The 21,479-nt window shown below is 47.6% G+C and overlaps 1 protein-coding gene across 12 annotated transcripts in view, besides 1 other annotated feature; it reads right to left on the reverse strand.

The window, feature by feature from the left end:
- Positions 1 to 21,479, reverse strand: part of VPS53 (VPS53 subunit of GARP complex) — a 206,172-nt gene that overhangs the window by 88,442 nt on the left and 96,251 nt on the right. For 11 of the 12 annotated variants that reach the window (XM_047436345.1, XM_047436344.1, NM_001128159.3 and 8 more), the window contains one exon: positions 4,686 to 4,787. In XM_047436345.1, the coding sequence (XP_047292301.1) occupies positions 4,686 to 4,787 (102 nt within the window). Of the gene's footprint in view, positions 1 to 2,835; positions 2,986 to 4,685; positions 4,788 to 21,479 lie in introns of all 12 variants that reach the window. The other variant, XM_047436350.1, reaches the window with a different exon arrangement.
- Positions 3,979 to 5,178: an enhancer, noted in NCBI's record as "BRD4-independent group 4 enhancer chr17:504328-505527 (GRCh37/hg19 assembly coordinates)". NCBI's record gives its function as "activates an origin of replication core promoter dependent on BRD2, P300/CBP, MED14 and CDK7 cofactors, and independent of BRD4, by STARR-seq in HCT116 cells {active_cell/tissue: HCT116}" and the evidence as "EXISTENCE:reporter gene assay evidence [ECO:0000049][PMID:35650434]".

A 21,479-nucleotide genomic window follows, 5' to 3' on the forward strand; every position in this document is an offset into this window, starting at 1 on the left:
GGCCCTCTTGTAAACGAAATACCTTCTTTCAGGTTCCCTCTCTCTTCTCAGCAGCGAGGCGTAAACTGCAGTAGTGAGCAGGGTGTGACCCTTACCTTGAGGGCCACATGGCTACTGACTGCAGCCATGAAATGGGTTAGGTCACCCACAGAGCCGGCAGAGACCTTCCCTCCAACCACCTCTGGCTGATTTCACCACTAACACCTGGTGGGGTCCCTCCCCCACCCCAAGAGGTCTGCTTTTGTTGTGCACCCCACTCTGGGAAGAGGGAGATCCTGGGGCGCCCACCTAATCAGCCACCAGCAAGGCCAGGGCTGGTGACGCAGCAGGAGGTAAGGGATGGCGTGGGTGGAGGCATTAGTCACTGGCATGTAAGTGTTATTACTAATCAGTAATAGCCCATGAAATGGTGGGTGGATCAGCTAGATTAGGGGGTTTAGTTGTTTCTTTTGAGATGGAGTCTCACTCTGTCACCCAGGCTATAGTGCAATGGCGTGATCTCGGCTCACTGTAACCTCCGCCTCCCAAGTTCACACGATTCTCCTGCCTCAGCCTCCTGAGTAGCTGGGATTACAGGCATGCACCACCACGCCCGGCTAATTTTGTATTTTTAGTATGGTTTCACCATGTTGTTTAGTATGGTTTCAACATAGTTTCACCATGTTGGTCAGGCTGGTTTTGAACTCCTGACCTCAGGTGATCGGCCTGCCTCAGCCTCCCAAAGTGCTGGGATTACAGGCATGAGCCACCATTCCCGGCCATTTTTTTTTTAAATTACATAAAACCTCTGGTTCAAAAAAAAATTTCATCTGAAAGCCCACAATACAAAATGACTTGCAGCTCTCCCTCTCCCTCTCCCTCTCCCCACGGTCTCCCTCTCCCTCTCTTTCCACGGTCTCCCTCTCATGCTGAGCCGAAGCTGGACTGTACTGCTGCCATCTCGGCTCACTGCAACCTCCCTGCCTGATTCTCCTGACTCAGCCTGCCGAGTGCCTGCGATTGCAGGCTCGCGCCGCCACACCTGACTGGTTTTGGTGGAGACGGGGTTTCGCTGGGTTGGCCAGGCCGGTCTCCAGCCCCTAACCGCAAGTGATCCGCCAGCCTCGGCCTCCCGAGGTGCCGGGATTGCAGACGGAGTCTCGTTCACTCAGTGCTCAATGGTGCCCAGGCTGGAGTGCAGGGGCGTGATCTCAGCTCGCTACAACCTCCACCTCCCAGCCGCCTGCCTTGGCCTCCCAAAGTGCCGAGATTGCAGCCTCTGCCCGGCCACCACCCCGTCTGGGAAGTGAGAAGCGTCTCTGCCTGGCCGCCCATCATCTGGGATGTGAGGAGCCCCTCTGCCTGGCTGCCCAGTCTGGAAAGTGAGGAGCGTCTCCGCCCGGCCGCCATCCCACCTAGGAAGTGAGGAGCACCTCTTCCCGGCCGCCATCACATCTAGGAAGTGAGGAGCGTCTCTGCCCGGCTGCCCATTGTCTGAGATGTGGGGAGCGCCTCTGCCCTGCCGCCCCGTCTGGGATGTGAGGAGCACCTCTGCCCGGCCGCGACCCGGTCTGGGAGGTGAGGAGCATTTCTGCCCGGCCGCCCCGTCTGAGAAGTGAGGAGACCCTCTGCCCGGCAACCGCCCCGTCTGAGAAGTGAGGAGCCCCTCCGCCCGGCAGCCGCCCCGTCTGAGAAGTGAGGAGCCTCTCTGCCCGGCAGCCACCCCGTCTGGGAAGTGAGGAGCGTCTCCGCCCGGCAGCCACCCCGTCCGGGAGGGAGGTGGGGGGGTCAGCCCCATGCCCGGCCAGCCGCCCCGTCCGGGAGGTGAGGGGCGCCTCTGCCCAGCCGCCCCTACTGGGAAGTGAGGAGCCCCTCTGCCAGGCCAGCCGCCCCGTCCGGGAGGGAGGTGGGGGGGGGGGTCAGCCCCCAACCCGGCCAGCCGCCCCATCCGGGAGGTGAGGGGCGCCTCTGCCCAGCCACCCCTACTGGGAAGTGAGGAGCCCCTCTGCCAGGCCAGCCGCCCCGTCCGGGAGGGAGGTGGGGGGGTCAGCCCCCCGCCCGGCCAGCCGCCCCGCCCGGGAGGTGAGGGGCGCCTCTGCCCGGCCGCCCCTACTGGGAAGTGAGGAGCCCCTCTGCCCGGCCACCACCCTGTCTGGGAGGTGTACCCAACAGCTCATTGAGAACGGGCCATGATGACAATGGCGGCTTTGTGGAATAGAAAGTGGGGAAAGGTGGGGAAAAGATTGAGAAATCGGATGGTTGCCGTGTCTGTGTAGAGAGAAGTAGACATGGGAGACTTTTCATTTTGTTCTGTACTAAGAAAACTTCTTCTGCCTTGGGATCCTGTTGATCTGTGACCTTACCCCCAACCCTGTGCTCTCTGAAACATGTGCTGTGTCCACTCAGGGTTAAATGGATTAAGGGCGGTGCAAGATGTGCTTTGTTAAACAGATGCTTGAAGGCAGCATGCTCGTTAAGAGTCATCACCACTCCCTAATCTCAAGTACCCAGGGACACAAACACTGCGGAAGGCCTCAGGGTCCTCTGCCTAGGAAAACCAGAGACCTTTGTTCACTTGTTTATCTGCTGACCTTCCCTCCACTATTGTCCTATGACCCTGCCAAATCCCCCTCTGTGAGAAACACCCAAGAATTATCAATAAAAAATAAATAAATTAAAAAAAAAAACAAAAACAAAATGACTTGCGATAAAACTGCTCTGATCGCAGGGATCTAGGTCTCTGGCCTCCTCCTAACTTCCACAGTGACATCTGATGGGGCACCAAGGAATACAGTTTGAAAACCATTAGCTCTCACTAAAGACAAGCTAGGGAAGTCTAAAGAGAGAATAACCTACTGAAGGTCACATGGTCAGTCGGTTAATGGCCGACAAGAGTCCAGCATTTTCCCAGCACCTGACTCTGCTTTACCCCATGTACTGGTCAGATGTCAGTGTTCTGTGTTCTTAGAATGAGCAGGTCTTGGTCCTTACAACAGTAACTTCAAGCTTTCATAGGAGGAAAAAGTTCCAAGAAAAAGGAAAATTACATTTTACCTGGCAAAACTGATTTTGTAGGTAATGGGGCCTATCTTAATCCAATTTAATAACATCCAGAGATGACTAGCGAAAAGAATAACTTTTCCTGGCAACACTGCAAGCATCTGAGTGTTTAACTGCACAATTTCGGACATGACCATGGCAGCTACTAGCATTCGTGAGACATCAGGGCTCTGCAAATGGCTCTCCTGCGCAAAGCATGCTCACAGGGCAGAGGTGGCCCTGTGTGGGTGGAGGACATGCCAGAAGCATGGGCTCTACACCCAGAGCCTTCTTTCCACCCTAGTCCCTGCTCCCAAAATGCAATTGAGAACTGCATTTAATTAGTTACAAGAAACTGTTTGTTTTCTTCCATGCCAGTCAATACTATGACGGCTTTAAATCAACTGCATCTAATCCTATAAATACATCTCCGGGATGGAGCCTCCTCAAGATGTCCCATCAGTTTTGTTCATTTACTTCTATTCCTGAGATTCAGTTCTATGTCCTCTACTCTTCAATGAGACATGAGTCCATCAACAAAATAGCACTGGGAAAGGAATTCTAGTTTCTGACATTGAGACCTGGCTTCCAGTTTAAGCTCCTCCACTTCCAAGCTGTGCAACCCTGGGCCAACCACTTAACCTCTCTGAGCTGCAGTTTCATCACCTATAAAGCAAGAGGCAGGAATTGTGACGATAACATAAAGCATGTAAAAGAATTTAAAAGTGCAAAGGACTATAAAAGTGTGAGTATCCATTCTATTACAATCATTTAATCAAGGGACCAGACACATTTGATTGCATCATTTCAGAACTGCTCCTGGAAGCTCTGCTCTCTTGGCTCCTGCCCTTGTGGTGCTGGGAAAGAATGAATGCAGGGCTAGCTGCAAAGTACATGGTTACAGGTTTCTCAGAGCTGGTCCTCCCAGCCAGCCTCCCTTTTGGTGGTGTCTGGAGCAAAACAATACCGTAAAATAATCCTCCAGCAGCCAAGTGTAGACAATTAAAAACAGGGATCACTAATCTAGAAGGGAAACGTTCTGATTTATTGCTCTAACCTCCCTTGTCATAACATGGCAGTTAACCAAAAACACCATTCTGTAGGATGAAGGGAGAGGAAATTTAGACTTGGACAGAAAAATCCAAAGGAAATTAAAGTGTTAGTGTGCTCTGAAAAGTAACTCTTCAAATATGCCACTGGCCACCTTGACATTTCCAGGCCTCCCCAATGGCTTCCAGACCTAAAGTGATCAGCTTACACTGCATGGAGGCCTCTCCTAGCCGAGGGTGCTGCTGGCTTCCCGGGGATTGTTCAGCCTCTCTCATCATCACTGTACCAGATGACAGTCAAACCAAAAACTCAGCTGACAAGCTCAGGAGATGCTGAATGAGGCAGAGCAGAACTCTCCTGGCCCCACCACAGTGGCTAATGAAGCTTGTGTGTGTCCTGGAGGCGGGGCTCTTCAGGAGCAGAGATGTGGGCAGGGAAGTCTGCCCTTTCATGGAGTTTTCTACATGCACTTTCAGATAAAGGCCTTCTGTAAAGACCACAACAGCTGTCATCTCTGAACGTGGCCAAGAGCCAAAGGATCGTATCTGGAGCAAGCAGACCGATTTTCAGAAACGCACATTGGGTAGGTTACCCGTGGTGACGCAAACCAGACTTACTTGATCTAAATCTCCTTTCTCCGTTGCCAGTTCCTCCATCTCTGGTGTTGGCTCATCTTCCAGGAAGGGATTGGTAGATGGGGGTGGAGACTCAAGCTTTTTCTGTTAGGTAGATATGAGAAAGAGAAGTGTTTTCTGAGCATATTCAATAGCTTTCCCCATTGATCTGCTTTTTCTAGGTGTCTCCAACAAGGAAGTCATGCACGCTATCTGATAAAGAAGAACTGAGGCAACCCAGACCACATTCTTGCCTCCGGGCCTTCACAGTGCTTTCCCTCTTCCTGCAACCTCCCCGACCACCCCGCCCCAACTCGAATCTGGCTAAAACGCTCACGCATCCTCAGTCCTCAAACCGGAACTCCGTTCTGCTGGGAAGCCTTTCCCATCTGTCAGGTTTGGGTCAGATGTCCCTGACACGTGTTCCCAAACCAAGCTACATGTCTCCTACCCAGGCATTTATTAAAATATAGCAATTGCCCATTATTTGTCTTTTCCCTTCTGGCCTCCATGATGGCAGAGATTGTGTCTGTCTTGTTCCCCATCCTATCTCAGTGCCTAGCATGTAGCAGGTCCTCAGTAAATAGAAATGAATCAAAGTGCCAGATGGATTTCAACGCAAGAACAAACTACAAAACTAATCTCATGTGTTCTAGATTAACAGATGTCTCTTCCCAAGTAAGCCCCATTACAACAACCACAACAGAAATCTCCTTGAGAAAATCGACTTCTCAGCTTCCAAATATGACCACTATTTCAAAATACATCACGGAGTGGAAACATGGGCCAGTGGGAAGGCTGCAGGCAGGAGGCATGGTAGCTGTAGCTCCAACCGTGCGGCACTGGCCCTATCACCCAGCTTCTCTGAGCCTCAGTAACTTCATCTGCTGAATGAGGATGTAGTCACAGGACTATCTGGAGGATCAAATGTGAAACCCTAGAAGCAGCACATGATACACACAAGGGTCACTGATGACGTTAATTCCAGTACAACTACAGAATCAAGGCAGCTCTCTGGAATTCCTTTACAGTTTTCACCTAGAGATGTTGTTTATGCCTGGGAGCTGAAGGCTTTAGCAGAAAGGAGGCCAACTGGACAAACAGAAAAGAGGGACTGCTTGGTGCTGGGGACGAGGGAAGGGGGCAAGGCATGGCTCTCTGGAGACGAGAAGTTAATGGAGAGGGAGTTTCTAAATGTACTTGGTATTTTAGCCAATACCAGTGGGTCAATCTGAATTAATCTCTAAGCCAAAAGGGACAGCAGATGGACTATAGCGTGAATAACTTTGCCAAGTGCCAGGACACCATCTGAAGCTATTACAAACAAAAATAAAACCAAAACTTACACAAAGGCCGGGTGCAGTGGCTCACACCTGGAATCCCAGCACTTTGGGAGGCTGAGGCGGCGGATCACTTGAGGTCAGGAGTTCAAGACCAGCCTGAACAACATGGTGAAAGCCTGTCTCTACTAAAAATACCAAAATTAGCAGCGTGGTGGTAGGCGCCTGTAATCCCAGCTACTTGGGAGGCTGAGGCACAAGAATTGCTTGAATCCAGGAAGTGGAGGTTGCAGTGAGCCAAGATGGCACCACTGCACTCCAGCCTGGGTGACAAAGCGAGACTCCGTCTCAAAAATAAAATACAATAAAATAAATACATTGCACAAAAGCACTACACCTGCGTCTGGTTTTTGGTTTAAGACAATACTGCTAACAGTCATTTAATAACTGCTTATTTTTTGGCCAAAACACTTGGATGCAAGTGATGTGGACAGATACAGCCTCGGTGCATGACAAAGCCTTGTGGTGATGGCATTAGCTCGAGGTAATCAGTAGTAAGATGATGGTTTTTGTGGTATCCTGGTGATAAACAATATGGTCTAACACCCAAGCAAGTATTTCACATTTGCACACTCCAAACTTTGGCTTCTTTACCTAACATGAGAGAAAAAAAATCCTTAAAAATGTACAGCTCTTGTTAGAAAGCAGTATTTCTAAGCTTGAGTTGTCTTCTTAAGGGCTGCTGATATTTTAGAGAGAGAGGAATAGTAATAAAGGGAATCTACCAAGCTTAATCTTCAACAACCATAAAAAAATTAAATTAGGTAATAGCATTAGACTCCTGATTCCACTGGCTTAACAGTGGGCTCTGGGATTATGCTGTTGAGCTGAGTCACTATGATTCTAAGTCTTTTGGTCCTTTGTAGATATGAAAAGCAAGTCAGCTAACTGAAGTTAAAAGCTTTGATCAAAATCATTCAGTGACAGACACAGAATTTGAGTTTTTGAACTAAATGCCCCTCATCTATTGCTAAGTCTATTGGGTTGATAACAGCACCTCACAATTACATAAAGATGGGCCTCGTTTTTAAAACATAATGTGTTATTGGAAATCATGGCAAACAGCAGATGTCAGTGACGTGGACTGAGAACGTTCCCGGGCTCTGCTCTCGCTGGCATAAAGCATCAAGAAAACGCAGAGGGTAGGAAGAAGTCAAACCTACTCTCACTGGCGTAAAGCATCAAGAAAACGCAGAGGGTAGGAAGAAGTCGAGCCTACTCTCGCTGGCGTAAAGCATCAAGAAAACGCAGAGGGTAGGAAGAAGTTGAACCTACTCTCGCCGGTGTAAAGCATCAAGAAAACGGAGAGGGGAGGAAGAAGTCGAACCTAACGGGCAGCCCTGAAGAAGCAGGCACCATCTGAGGCAGGTGAGCACAGGCCACTCGCTCAGTGTCACCATCTGGGATAGAGTGAGCATGGGCCAACCTCAGCCTCCTGAGTAGCTGGGACTACAGGTGCACATCACCACACCCAAGTAATTTTTGTATTTTTTGTAGAGATGGGATTTTGCCATGTTGCCTGGGCTGGTCTGAAACTCCTGACCTGAAGCAATCCATCTGTCTCAGCCTCCCAAAGTGCTAGAATTACAGGCGTGAGCCACCATGCCCGTCCTCTATTAACATGAGGGGAGTTGTGGACATCAAGGAGCTCCTAGCTCACTCATTTGTGGCACATGCATTCCACATGTGGACCAAGTTAGTACAGGAAAAGTGATTCATTCCTTCCCTCATCCACTCAACAAAGGGATATGCTTGGCCCTAGGAGTAGAGCAGTGAGAAAGACAGGCCAGCCTCCGCCCTCATGGAGATTAGAGTCTGCTGGGGGAGACAGCCTTCAATCCAACAGTCACACAAACAGTGAGAAGGGCCAGGAAGGAAAAGCAGTCGTCATGGAAACGTGCAACAGAGGGCCGCAGCCGTCCCTAAAGAAAAGATGTCTGAGCCAGAGCTGAAGGATGCCTCAGAGTGAAATATATGAGGGGTGGAGGGCGGAGGGAACAGCACGTGTCTGCCGCTCACTCAACAATGATGTACTGGGCATCCACTCTGCTCCAGGCACTCTTGGGTGCACCAGGGATGCAAGTGAGGAAGATGGATTAGAGAGGCGGCACTGTAGTGGTGAGAAGAAAACTCAGGGAGTGGGATGAGCTGGGGATGAGGGTGGGAAAGTGCTTCTACACACAGGGTCATCAGAAAAGGTCTCTGAGGAGATGACGGCTGAGCTGAGTAAGAAGGAACTGCTCAGGCAAAACCCAAGGAAGGGTGTTCTCAGCAGGGAGACCCGGTGGAGACGCTGGAAAGCATATGGTGAGTCTGAGGGACAGAAAGGAAGATGGGGGCCTGGGGTAAGAGGGGTGGCGGGAGTCCCATCATATTGGTGAATCAGGGATGGAAAGGAAGATGGGGGCCTGGGGTAAGAGGGGTGGCGGGAGTCCCATCATATTGGTGAGTCAGGGACGGAAACAAAGATGGGGGCCTGGGGTAAGAGGGGTGGCGAGAGTCCCATCATATTGGTGAGTCAGGGACAGAAAGGAAGATGGGGGCCTGGGGTAAGAGGGGTGGCGGGAGTCCCATCATATTGGTGAGTCAGGGACGGAAACGAAGATGGGGGCCTGGGGTAAGAGGGGTGGCAAGAGTCGCATCATATTGGTGAGTCAGGGACAGAAAGGAAGATGGGGGCCTGGGGTAAGAGGGGTGGCGGGAGCCCCATCACGCAGCCTTTTGTGGGCCATGGTAAGGGTCGGTTTTCTTCTCACTGCAATTGGGCAGTCGCTGGTAGTTTTCAACAGCGAAGTGATGTGATCTAATTTGGATTTTAAAAATATTCCACTGCTGTAGGGGAATGGATTATAATGACAGCAGGCAAACCAGTTTAAGAGGCTGCTACAGTGCTCCAGGAAAGGGCTGATGGGAACCGGACTAAGCCAGTGTTCCAGGAAAGGGCTGATGGGGAACTGGACTAAGCTGGTGATGGACGATAGAAAAAAGTGTCCATCGGATTTGGGGCACAGTTAGGAGGCAGAGCCAGGAGGCTTTGCTGAGAGAGTGAGAACGAGGGTGAGGGAATGAAAGGAGTGAAGGGACAGTCACTTTCTGGTCTGAGCAACTGCACGGCTGATGTTGCCCTTAACTGAGATGGGGCACCCTCGTGTAGTGGCAAGGGCACAGGCTCCGTATCTGACAGACCCGGGTTCGAGTCCAGGTTCCACCATGGGGTATGCTGTTTAACTTCTAGCCTCAGTTCTCCTACCTGCAATGTGAAGGGATAGGAATACCTACCTCGTATGGCTGCCATGAGGATGGGATGAGGCATGCGTGTCAGGCGTGAGCTACACAGTTACGTGCTGCCATGAGGATGGGATGATGCGTGCGTGTCAGGCGTGAGCTACACAGTCATGCACCACATCACCATGTTTCCATCCATGACGGGCCACGGTACAAGGCGGTTCCACTAGATTATAATGGAGCCATACAATAGAGTAGGCCAGGGGTCCCCAACCCCTGGGCCACAGTCCATGGCCTGTTAGCAACCAGGCTGCATATCACGAGGTGAGCAGCAGTGAGTGAGCATGACTGCCTGGGCTCCGCCTCCTGTCAGGTCTCATAGGCAAACCCTGTTGTGAGCTGCTCATATGAGAGGTCTAGGTTGCACACTCCTTCTGAGAATCCAATGCCTGATGATCTGAGGTAGAACAGTTTCATCTCGAAACCATCCCCTACCCCCATCCCCTGCACTCCCACCCCCACCCCCACCTCTGGAAAAACTGTCTTCCACAAAACCAGTCCCTGGTGCCAAAAAGGTTGGGGACAGCTGGAGTAGGTTCTAGCAGGCACACTCTATGAGGTTTGCACAGTGATGAAACTAATGATGCATTTCTCAGAACATATTCCTGCTGTTAAGCAATGCATGACTGAATATATACAGCAGCTTAACATGCTGTCTGGCACAGAGGGCAAGGCTCAGCAAGGGGAAGCTTTGAGCAGTAATTAATAGGGTGAGCTACGAAACAAGGCAAAACTGTTGTGCTTCTCTTAATAAAGCAGCTCACAGAAAACGTGGGCATGCAGGCTTAAAAGTCTTGTCAAAAGAATTTCTATTAACCATAAGTGGAGCCTCGTCCCAACTACTTTGTCTCTTTGGGATCTCTCTAAGAAATAAAAGCAAAGGGCCCATCAACTTTGCACTTTCTAAGTGGAAAGGCACACGGAGCTGCTCCTTTCTTCCCCAGTCTACAACAACGCACATACCACCCTCCTCCCTGTTGATAAAAGTCCTAAAACCCTAAGGTGTGGATATGCATTCCCGCTAGTTAGAGGGCTACATTACTGCTCAGACTGACTTGCTAAGATGAAAGAACAAGTCCTTGTGGGGAGCGATCACTGGCATAACGCAGCCTTCTGTGCTAAGAGCCACACAGATCACGCTTCTCAGGCTTGCTTTGCAGCTGTCACAGGCCACAGAGAATTACAACTTTGGGGTTAGATTGTCAGTAACTCAAAGGACATATTTCATGAACTCTGAGGCTGCTAAATAAAGCCAAAAATTTCCAAGAAGTGAATGACTTCCAATTTTGAAAGAATTCATTCTTTTTGCTATGATGACAGTTGATTTCAAGCCGATATAGGAAAGCAAAATTCTTCATATAGCAAGTTAATCCCTACTGATTAAATCACAGGGGATTCCCAGCACCTTCAAAACAGTTCAGACCACAGGACAGTCAGGCTGTCTAATTCACTGTCAAGAAGGGAAAGTCTGGCTTCAGTCAGCAGTACATCCGTATCTCGTCTGCCTACACAAATCCCTGTGTGAGGCCCTAGCTGGACACATCGAATTATCAAAGAAGGAACTCTGAAATTTAAGACTCTTCCTTTCCCTAGAGGGGAAAGCTTTCGCTTGTGAGATGAAAGTTCCTCAGTTTCTGCATTTCTCACTCCATAAATGCTTTACTCCAGCCCAATTCCTAATTGGTCCTTAAAGAGATGGCTGCGGGGCTTTAGCTGACAGTCAGGACTGCAAGCCCAGGGGTTCACACACTTGGTGTCCACCATTTCTGGGGCTACTCTCTTGCTACCGCCATGTCCACTTCTTCTATTGCAACAGTTATGTACAGACTTCTTTCTCCTACTAGACCCTAAGTGCCTTCCCGATCCAATTTCTCATCTTTTCCAAAGCCCTGAACAAAGAGGGAAGCTTGAAAAATATAAGTGGGTAAATGCTGATCAGATGAAAGGCCCTCAATAAAATCCTCTTCAGAAACATGGGCAACACTTTCTATTTTCTGTAAACAAAACAAAAAGCCTGCGTATATGTGTGCAAGCGTGCTTGCAGAAGCGTCAAAAATATACCCCAAAGAATTAAACAGTGTGGATACCTCCAGGGGGAGGGATATACAGTAGTTAAGAAGAGATGTTTATTTAAAATTTTTTTTTCTATTTGAGTTTTTAATAGGCATATATAGCTATTTCTGCTTTTTTCTTTTCTTTTCTTTTCTTTTTTTTTTTGAAACAGAGCCTCACTCTTCCACCCAGGATGAAGTGCAGTGGTGCAATCACAGCTCACTGCAGTCTTGAACTCCTGGACTTAGGTGACCCTTGCACCTCAGCCTCCTGAGTAGCTAAGAATGCAAGTGCACACTACCACGCCCTGCTCATTTTAAAATTTTTTTTTAGAGACAGGGTCTTCGTGGCCCAGGCTGGTCTCAAACTCCTGGCTGTAAGAGACCTGCCCACCTCGGCCTCCCAAAGCGCTGGGATTTTAGGCATGAGCCATTATGCCCGGCCCACTGCTCATTTTTTTTTTTGACAGAATATTTATCTGAAGAGTAAAGATGATTTATAACTAAACTCATACACTATCTTCTAAAGCCTTTAATTCTAAATTGTGATGTAATTCATGTCACATAAAACTCAACATTTTAAAGTGATTTACTATTCAGTGGTTTTCGGACATTCACAAGGTTGTGCAGCCATCACCACCAATTCCAGAACATTTTTCACCCCCAAAAGCAACCCCTACCTGTTACTGGGAAGCTGTTACTTCCCAGTCTTCCCCTTCCCAACCCCATCGGCCTCTATGGATTTGCCTCTTTTGGGTATTTCCTATAGATGGAATCATATAATGTGTGACATCTGTGTCTGGCTTCTTTCACTCGGCATGGTGTGTCCAAGGTTCACCCAGGTCAGGGCACGTATCAGCACTTCATTCCTTTTACGTGAATAATATTCCACTGTACGGACAGACCACGTTTTGGTTATTCCTTGTCTACTGATGTTTCTACTTTTTGGCTATTGTGAATAGTGTTGCTATGAACATTTGTGTAAGACATACGAACATATGTTTTTAATTCCCTTGGGCATATACTTAGAAGTAGAAATGTGTAATTAAAAAAAAAGAATTCAGATTGCTTTGCTTTTTCTATTTGGCAGAGTTACCCCTTCACATTAGGCATGGCACATTAACACTGTGAGATGCACTGAAACAAGCAGGGACTACTTTTAAATCTTAACTGCATTTGGAAGAACAGAAAGGAAGAGGAACAGAAAGATGTTTAAAGCAGAGGCTGAAATTGAAAGTGCTCACAACTTGAGCCGATAATTCCACTAGTGTCGTAAGAAAATCATCTCACTGCTTTGGGTAAGAGACAGCGAAGAGGAGAGAAGAGAGAAGAGAAGAGAGGAAAAAAACAATCTCAAATGCATATAAAATTAGTAGACAAGGCCGGGTGCGGTGGCTCACGCCTGTAATCCCAGCACTTTGGGAGGCCGAGGTGGGCGGATCACGAGGTCAGGAGATCGAGACCCTCCTGGCTAACATGGTGAAACCGTCTCTACTAAAAATATAAAAAAAAAAATTAGCCAGGCGTGGTGGCGGGCGCCTGTAGTCCCAGCTACGCGGAGGCTGAGGCAGGAGAATGGCGTGAACCCAGGAGGCAGAGCTTGCAGTGAGCCGAGATCGCGCCACTGCACTCGAGCCTGGGCGACAGAGTGAGACTCCGTCACACACACACACACACACACACACACACACACACACACACACACACACACAAATTAGTAGACAAAAATATTCATATAGCCCTATTTATAAAAGTGAGAAAAAACTAAGGGTCCTACGAGAAAAGAATAATTAGGGGAATCACTGAGTATCTATAGAATAAAATCTTTCTGTAGTAGTTGAGAAACAACTTAAGCTGTGACATATGAAGCATATTTTCATATGTGTGTGTGAGTTAATATGGAAATTAACTCAAAATGGATCAAAGATATAAATGTAGCAGCTGAAACTATAAAACTCTTAGGAGGAAACCTAGGTAAGTCTCTGTAGCCTTGGATTACGTAACAGTTTCTTGGATATGACACTAAACACAAGCAAGAACAAAAAACCTTCATTAAAACGGAAATCCTGTGAAATGACTATCAAGAGAGTGAAAACCCACAGATGGGAGAAAACATTGGCAAATCATATGTCTGATACATGATAAAATATCTAAAGAAGTTATAAAGCCTGGGCATGGTGGCTCACGCCTATAATCCCAGCACTATGAGAGGTCGAGGCGGGTGGATCACTTGAGGCCAGGAGTTCAAGACCAGCCTGGCCAACACGGCAAAACCCCGCCTCTACTAAAAAAAAAAAAAAAAAATACAAAAAATACAAAAATTAGCCTGGCATGGTGCTGCGCTCCTGTGGTCCCAGCTACCCAGGAGACTGAGGTCCGAGAATTGCTTGAACCCAGGAGGCAGAGGTTGCAGTGAGCCGAGATCTCACCACTGAACTCCAGCCTGGGCAACAGAGTGAGACTCTGTCTCAAGAAAAAAAAAAAAAAGTTATAGAATATATCTAGAATGTGTAAACAACTCTTACAACTCAACAATAAAAACAATCCAACTAAAAAATGGGCAAAAAATGTGAATAGACATTTCCTTTTTTTTGAGACATGAGTGGCGCAATCTCAGCTCACTGAAACCTCCACCTCCTGGGTTCAAGCGATTCTCCTGCCTCAGCCTCCCGAGTAGCTGGGATTATAGGCACCCGCCACCACGCCTGGCTAAGTTTTGTATTTTTAGTACAGACGGGGTTTCACCATGTTGGCCAGGCTGGTCTTGAACTCCTGACCTGAGGTGATGCTCCCACCTCGGCCTCCCACAGTGCTGGGATTACAGGCGTGAGCCACCACACCCAGCTGAATAGACATTTCTTTAAAGAAGCTGTGCAATGTCACTAGTCAATGGGAAAAAGCAAATGAAAACCACAAGGAGATACTACTCTACACCCATGAGAATGGCTATAATTAGGGGAACAAAGGAGACACGCGTCAGCAAGGATATGGGGAAACTGGACCCTCCTACATTGTGGGTAGAAATGTAAAACCGTGTGGCTGCTTCGAAAACAGTTTGCAGTTCCTCAAAAAGTTAAGCCTAGGGTTACCATGTGACCCAGCAATTCCACTCAGGTATATTCTCACAAGAATAGGAAACACGCTGACACGAAAACCTGTACAAATATTCACAGCAGTATTCATACAGTGAAAACCTGTACCGATATTCACAGCAGTATTCACATAGTGAGTTCACACAGTGAAAACCTGTACAAATATTCACATAGTGAGTTCACATAGTGAAAACCTGTACAAATATTCACATAGTGAGTTCACACAGTGAAAACCTGCACAGATATTCACAGCAGTATTCAAATAGTGAATTCACACAGTGAAAACCTGTACAAATATTCACATAGTGAGTTCATACAGTGAAAACCTGTACTGATATTCACAGCAGTATTCACATAGTGAGTTCACACAGTGAAAACCTGTACAGATATTCACATAGTTCACACAGTGAAAACCTGTACAGATATTCACAGCAGTATTCAAATAGTGAATTCACACAGTGAAAACCTGTACAAATATTCACAGTGAGTTCACACAGTGAAAACCTGTAAAAATATTCACATAGTGAGTTCACACAGTGAAAACCTGTACAGATACTCACAGCAGTATTCAAATAGTGAATTCACACAGTGAAAACCTGTACAAATATTCATAGTGAGTTCACACAGTGAAAACCTGTACAGATATTCACAGCAGTATTCAAATAGTGAATTCACACAGTGAAAACCTGTACAAATATTCACATAGTGAGTTCACACAGTGAAAACCTGTACAGATATTCACAGCAGTATTCAAATAGTGAATTCACACAGTGAAAACCTGTACAAATATTCACATAGTGAGTTCACACAGTGAAAACCTGTACAGATATTCACAGCAGTATTCAAATAGTGAATTCACACAGTGAAAACCTGTACAAATATTCACATAGTTCACACAGCGAAAACCTGTACAGATATTCACAGCAGTATTCAAATAGTGAATTCACACAGTGAAAACCTGTACAAATATTCACATAGTGAGTTCACACAGTGAAAACCTGTACAGATACTCACAGCAGTAATCAAATAGTGAATTCACACAGTGAAAACCTGTACAAATATTCATATAGTGAGTTCACACAGCGAAAACCTGTACAGATATTCACAGCAGTATTCAAATAGTGAATTCACACAGTGAAAACCTGTACAAATATTCACATAGTTCACACAGCGAAAACCTGTACAGATATTCACAGCAGTATTCAAATAGTGAATTCACACAGTGAAAACCTGTACAAATATTCACATAGTGAGTTCACACAGTGAAAACCTGTACAGATACTCACAGCAGTATTCAAATAGTGAATTCACACAGTGAAAACCTGTACAAATATTCACATAGTTCACACAGTGAAAACCTGCACAGATATTCACAGCAGTATTCAAATAGTGAATTCACACAGTGAAAACCTGTACAAATATTCACATAGTGAGTTCACACAGTGAAAACCTGTACAGATATTCACAGCAGTATTCAAATAGTGAATTCACACAGTGAAAACCTGTACAAATATTCACATAGTGAGTTCACACAGTGAAAACCTGTACAGATATTCACAGCAGTATTCACACAGTGAAAACCTGTACAGATATTCACAGCAGTATTCAAATAGTGAATTCACACAGTGAAAACCTGTACAAATATTCACATAGTGAGTTCACACAGTGAAAACCTGCACAGATATTCACAGCAGTATTCACACAGTGAAAACCTGTACAGATATTCACAGCAGTATTCAAATAGTGAATTCACACAGTGAAAACCTGTACAAATATTCACATAGTGAGTTCACACAGTGAAAACCTGCACAGATATTCACAGCAGTAATCAAATAGTGAATTCACACAGTGAAAACCTGCACAGATATTCACAGCAGTATTCAAATAGTGAATTCACACAGTGAAAACCTGTACAAATATTCACATAGTGAGTTCACACAGTGAAAACCTGTACAAATATTCACATAGTGAGTTCACACAGTGAAAACCTGTACAGATATTCACAGCAGTATTCAAATAGTGAATTCACACAGTGAAAACCTGTACAAATATTCACATAGTGAGTTCACACAGTGAAAACCTGTACAGATATTCACAGCAGTATTCAAATAGTGAATTCACACAGTGAAAACCTGTACAAATATTCACATAGTGAGTTCACACAGTGAAAACCTGTACAGATATTCATAGCAGTATTCAAATAGTGAATTCACACAGTGAAAACCTGTACAAATATTCACAGTGAGTTCACACAGTGAAAACCTGTACAGATACTCACAGCAGTATTCACACAGTGAAAAAGTGGAAACCACCCGAATGTCCACAGCTGATGGAAGAGACAACAATATGTGCATCACCCACACAACGGTGCACTATTCAGCCATCAAAATGATGCACTGACACACACCTCATCATGGGTAAGGCTCGCAGACACTGTCCAGAGGGAGGGAAGGCAGACACAAAAACCACACATCGTAGCATCCGTTTATGTGAAGTGTCCACAACAGGCATCCGTAAAGACAAAAGTCAATTCGTAACTGCCCAGGACTGGGGAAAGAGAACTTGAAAGTCCTGCCTGCTAAGGAGGGATTTCTTCTGGGGTAACAGAAATGTCCTGGAGTTGCACAGCTGGGATCGTGGCATCATCTTATGAATATATGAAAACCAACTGAACTGTATACTTTAAACGATAAATTTCATGTGACATTTCGTGACATGAGTTATATCTCAATTTTAAAAACTAGGCAGAGAAAACTGTATTTAAAAAAATACAATTTCAACCATGTAAAATATATAGAAAGAATATACCCAAATCCTCATCTCTGATTTGGATGACTTTTTTCCTGCTTCTCTATTCTCGCCATAATTTCCAAATTTTCTATCCTGACCCTGTATTATTCTCTTCTCAGAAACAGAAGTTAATCGTCCCTTGCAATATTATTCAAATGGAAGAATACATTTCTTTAGCACCAGTAAAGCATCCATAAAATATTTTCCAACGCTGAAGGGAGTGCATGAGGCGGGGGAATCTGTCACTGTCGGAGACAGATGTCCTCAAGCTGTGGCAGAGCTGGAAAACCTGCCCCTGTTCCTTACACAGTCTCCCTCATGCAGGTGCCGGAAGACCAGGGTGTAGAGTGAGACATGCTGGGTGGTCTTTCATGAGTCGTGAGCCTTTTGCAAACGCTCTTACACTCAAATTCCATGGCTGACAATTGTACCCATATAGCTTCTATCTTTAGAATGTAATTCTAAAAACTGGGGAAGTAAAGGCCCCTATAAGCCAAAGGACAAGTCTGTTTCAAAAGGCAACTTATGCAGTGGTCAAGAGGAAGGGAAATCCAGCTGCATAAAAGGGGAACATTTTTAATTTTATTACTACAAAAAAAACAAAAAACAAAACAAAAACCTCCCAGTGAGGCAGTTATAAAAAGCTAATCCGATCTAGTCTGCTTTTCTGCTTTCAGCAGAAGGCTGAATGTCATTTGCTCACCTTGAATCTAATCATCAAGTCACTAATAATGCATATGGATCCAGTTACATCACATCCAGACATTCTCTTTTAATTTCAAGGCATTTTAATTTATAGACTCTCTTGAATTCCTCCTAAAGGGTCAGAAGTTGAGGCAACTGGGAAAAGCACAGGCAGCTCACCTCCTCAAGTAACAGTTACAGCACAGGACATCGTGAAACTGGTTAAGCAACAAGCCTGTCCCTGAGGCTCTTTCAGTCTAAAGTTCTATCAAATGTTGAAGTCACAGCTCTTGAAAAAGAGCCAAGGATGATGCATCCCACTGAAGTCAGGAGTGATGGGTCAGGAGGAGCTGAGCTGTGGCAGGTCTTGTCTTCCGGGCGAGCTGGCCACACTCTCAAGCTCATCCTCACTGTTTCACTGCCAGTCACCAAGGACTGGAGAGGTTTGGAATGATACAGTGAAGGCGGCAGTGGGGGTAGGGTGGGGATGACGTACAGCCTAGGGAGGGGCAGCAAGGGAGAGTCTCTGGCCGTTTTGGCTCCTTGGCTGACATCTTACCTGTTTTGTGGCACCTTTCTGAGGAATTCAGTAACTTTCTATAAAATCTGGCATATATCAAAGGGTATCAAGATATACCTTGGTTCGTTTCACAATTTATTCTGGTATTTTGAAACAAAATGGTAGCCAAAAAGGAGTTTCCAAAGAGTGTATCCTGAAAGGAAGGTAGCATGGGGAAGGGGTCAGGGGCCAGGGAGCAGCATATCTCCAGGCAGGGTACCCAGCAGCTAGACTGGGGGTCAGGACAGCTGGAACTCCTGGCCTTGCCCAGGCAGCCCCTTCCCGGTGCTTTGCGTTGGGAGCATGGTCGGTAGCCATGATGAATTCACCAAGGTCCCTGCCACTGAGGGTCGCAGAATAAAGGTGAAGAAGGTCGTGCACGGCCCACAATGAGATGATGGTGGGGACCAGGCTCAGTGTGAACATCAGCTAGAGTGACAGCCTTCACGTCTCCTCACAGCAGAGCTGCAGTGAACCGATTCCTCAAGGCCCGTCCCACCTGGGTAAAGTGGCCATAGGGCTTCTGTTGCCTTCCTAGAAACTTATCTTTAAGGGAAAACCCTTGAAGGATATCAGACAGCCATTTTCAGGATTTGGAATGCAGAATAACTGCCAGGTCGTGATACCTGGCACAAAGAATAGGGTAGGAGGACGAAGTTGAATTAAAGAAGCTGAAGGATTTAGAGAAGTCTGTGGAGAGGAGAGCTGACTAAATAGAGAGGGAAAGAAAGAACTCATGGTGTTCATCAGGCTTTTCTGGCTAAGGATTTAGAACCTGAAACTCTGCAAACTTGAGAGGAGAGGAGAGCAACAACTGAACAATGAAGAGGGGATGATTTAAAGACCAGTTCTGCCAAAACATTTCAAATATGAAAACCAAAAAGGAAGGAGCTGGGGAAAAAGGCTCAAGTGTTCCTAGCTGACCCCTGACCACCACCACAGAGCACCACCTCGGCCAGGAGACACTGGGCTCCAGGCCAGGAGCTTGGCCCTGGCCGAGTGAGTTCAGGCAGAAAGGGGCTGTGCTGCCCTGAGAAACCAGTACCCCCAGCCCAGTCCTCCCGGGACAGAAGGTGTCTGACAGTTGGCCAACTGCCATTCTGACAGTCCTGTACCTGTGTTTTACAATAAAGCATTGTCTTTGCAAACTTGAGTAAGCTCCTGTCAGTTTTTCATGGTCTCTACGTGGTTACCCTGTTCAGCTGCCTCAGCTTGTCCAGAAGGGCCTTCCCTGCCCTCGTTCCCTTACCACTTTTGGCCTTTGGGGGATTTTTCCTTGGAGAGGTCCTGGGACAGACCCAGGTTCACAGGCTACCCTGGTCCTCAGATGCAACAGGGCCATTTGTTCCTCTGTGGTCCTATAGCTCCCTAAATGTAAAAGACAAATCACCAGGAAGTAGGGCCCAGCCAGAGAGGGTGAAGAATGGCTCAAAACAAGTGCTTGGCAAGAATGTCATTCAAGCATCCTTCACTGGGACCTATTTCCCGTCCGGTTATCTGGATTACCAGCTCACAGAGCCTGTCCTGATGCTCTCCGGACCCTGCCCAGCCAGAGGCCGTGGGAGCTCAGGGGGCTACTCCCAGGGTGGGGCCTGTGCTCAATGCTGAACCCTCATGCTTGTCGCCGGGCAGATCTCCGTAGGGCTGAATCCAGTGCCACATATATCTACGCTTGAAACCAGGCAGGAGCATGGCTTGGGAAGGTCCGAGAGGAGAGCCAGCAAGAGGAATCAGGGGGCTGCTAAAGCCAACCTCATACTTCTCAGGAGAAACTCAGGATTCCTTCAGTGGGATCTCTGTTCCTATTTCCTTTCCTTTTCTGTTTTTTTGAGACAGTCTCACTTTGTCACCCAGACTGGAGTGCAGTGGTGCAATCTCAGTTCATTGCAACCTCTGCCTTCTGGGCTAAAGTGATCCTCCTGTCTCAGCCTCTCAGGTAGCTGGGACTACAGGCGTGCGCCACCACGCCCCACTAATATTTCCCGGGTAGCTGGGACTACAGGCGTGCGCCATCAGGCCCCGCTATTATTTCCCAGGTAGCTGGGACTACAGGCATGCACCACCACGCCCCACTAATATTTCCCGGGTAGCTGGGACTACAGGCATGCGCCATCAGGCCCCGCTATTATTTCCCAGGTAGCTGGGACTACAGGCATGCGCCACCACGCCCCACTAATATTTCCCGGGTAGCTGGGACTACAGGCGTGCGCCACCACGCCCCACTAATATTTCCCGGGTAGCTGGGACTACAGGCGTGCGCCACCACGCCCCACTAATATTTCCCGGGTAGCTGGGACTACAGGCGTGCACCACCACGCCCCACTAATGTTTCCCGGGTAGCTGGGACTACAGGCGTGCGCCACCACGCCCCACTAATATTTCCCGGGTAGCTGGGACTACAGGCGTGCGCCACCACGCCCCACTAATATTTCCCGGGTAGCTGGGACTACAGGCGTGCGCCACCACGCCCCACTAATATTTCCCGGGTAGCTGGGACTACAGGCGTGCGCCACCACGCCCCACTAATATTTCCCGGGTAGCTGGGACTACAGGCGTGCGCCACCACGCCCCACTAATGTTTCCCGGGTAGCTGGGACTACAGGCGTGCGCCACCACGCCCCACTAATATTTCCCGGGTAGCTGGGACTACAGGCGTGCACCACCACGCCTGCTAATATTTCCCGGGTAGCTGGGACTACAGGCGTGCGCCACCACGCCCCACTAATATTTCCTGGGTAGCTGGGACTACAGGGGTGCACCACCACGCCCCACTAATATTTCCCGGGTAGCTGGGACTACAGGCGTGCACCACCACGCCCCACTAATATTTCCCGGGTAGCTGGGACGACAGGCGTGCGCCACTACGCCCCACTAATATTTCCCGGGTAGCTGGGACTACAGGCATGCGCCACCACACCCCACTAATATTTCCTGGGTAGCTGGGACTACAGGCATGCGCCATCAGGCCCCGCTATTATTTCCCAGGTAGCTGGGAC

This window comes from Homo sapiens, chromosome 17 (genome assembly GCF_000001405.40).
Source record: "Homo sapiens chromosome 17, GRCh38.p14 Primary Assembly".
Lineage (NCBI taxonomy): Eukaryota > Metazoa > Chordata > Mammalia > Primates > Hominidae > Homo > Homo sapiens.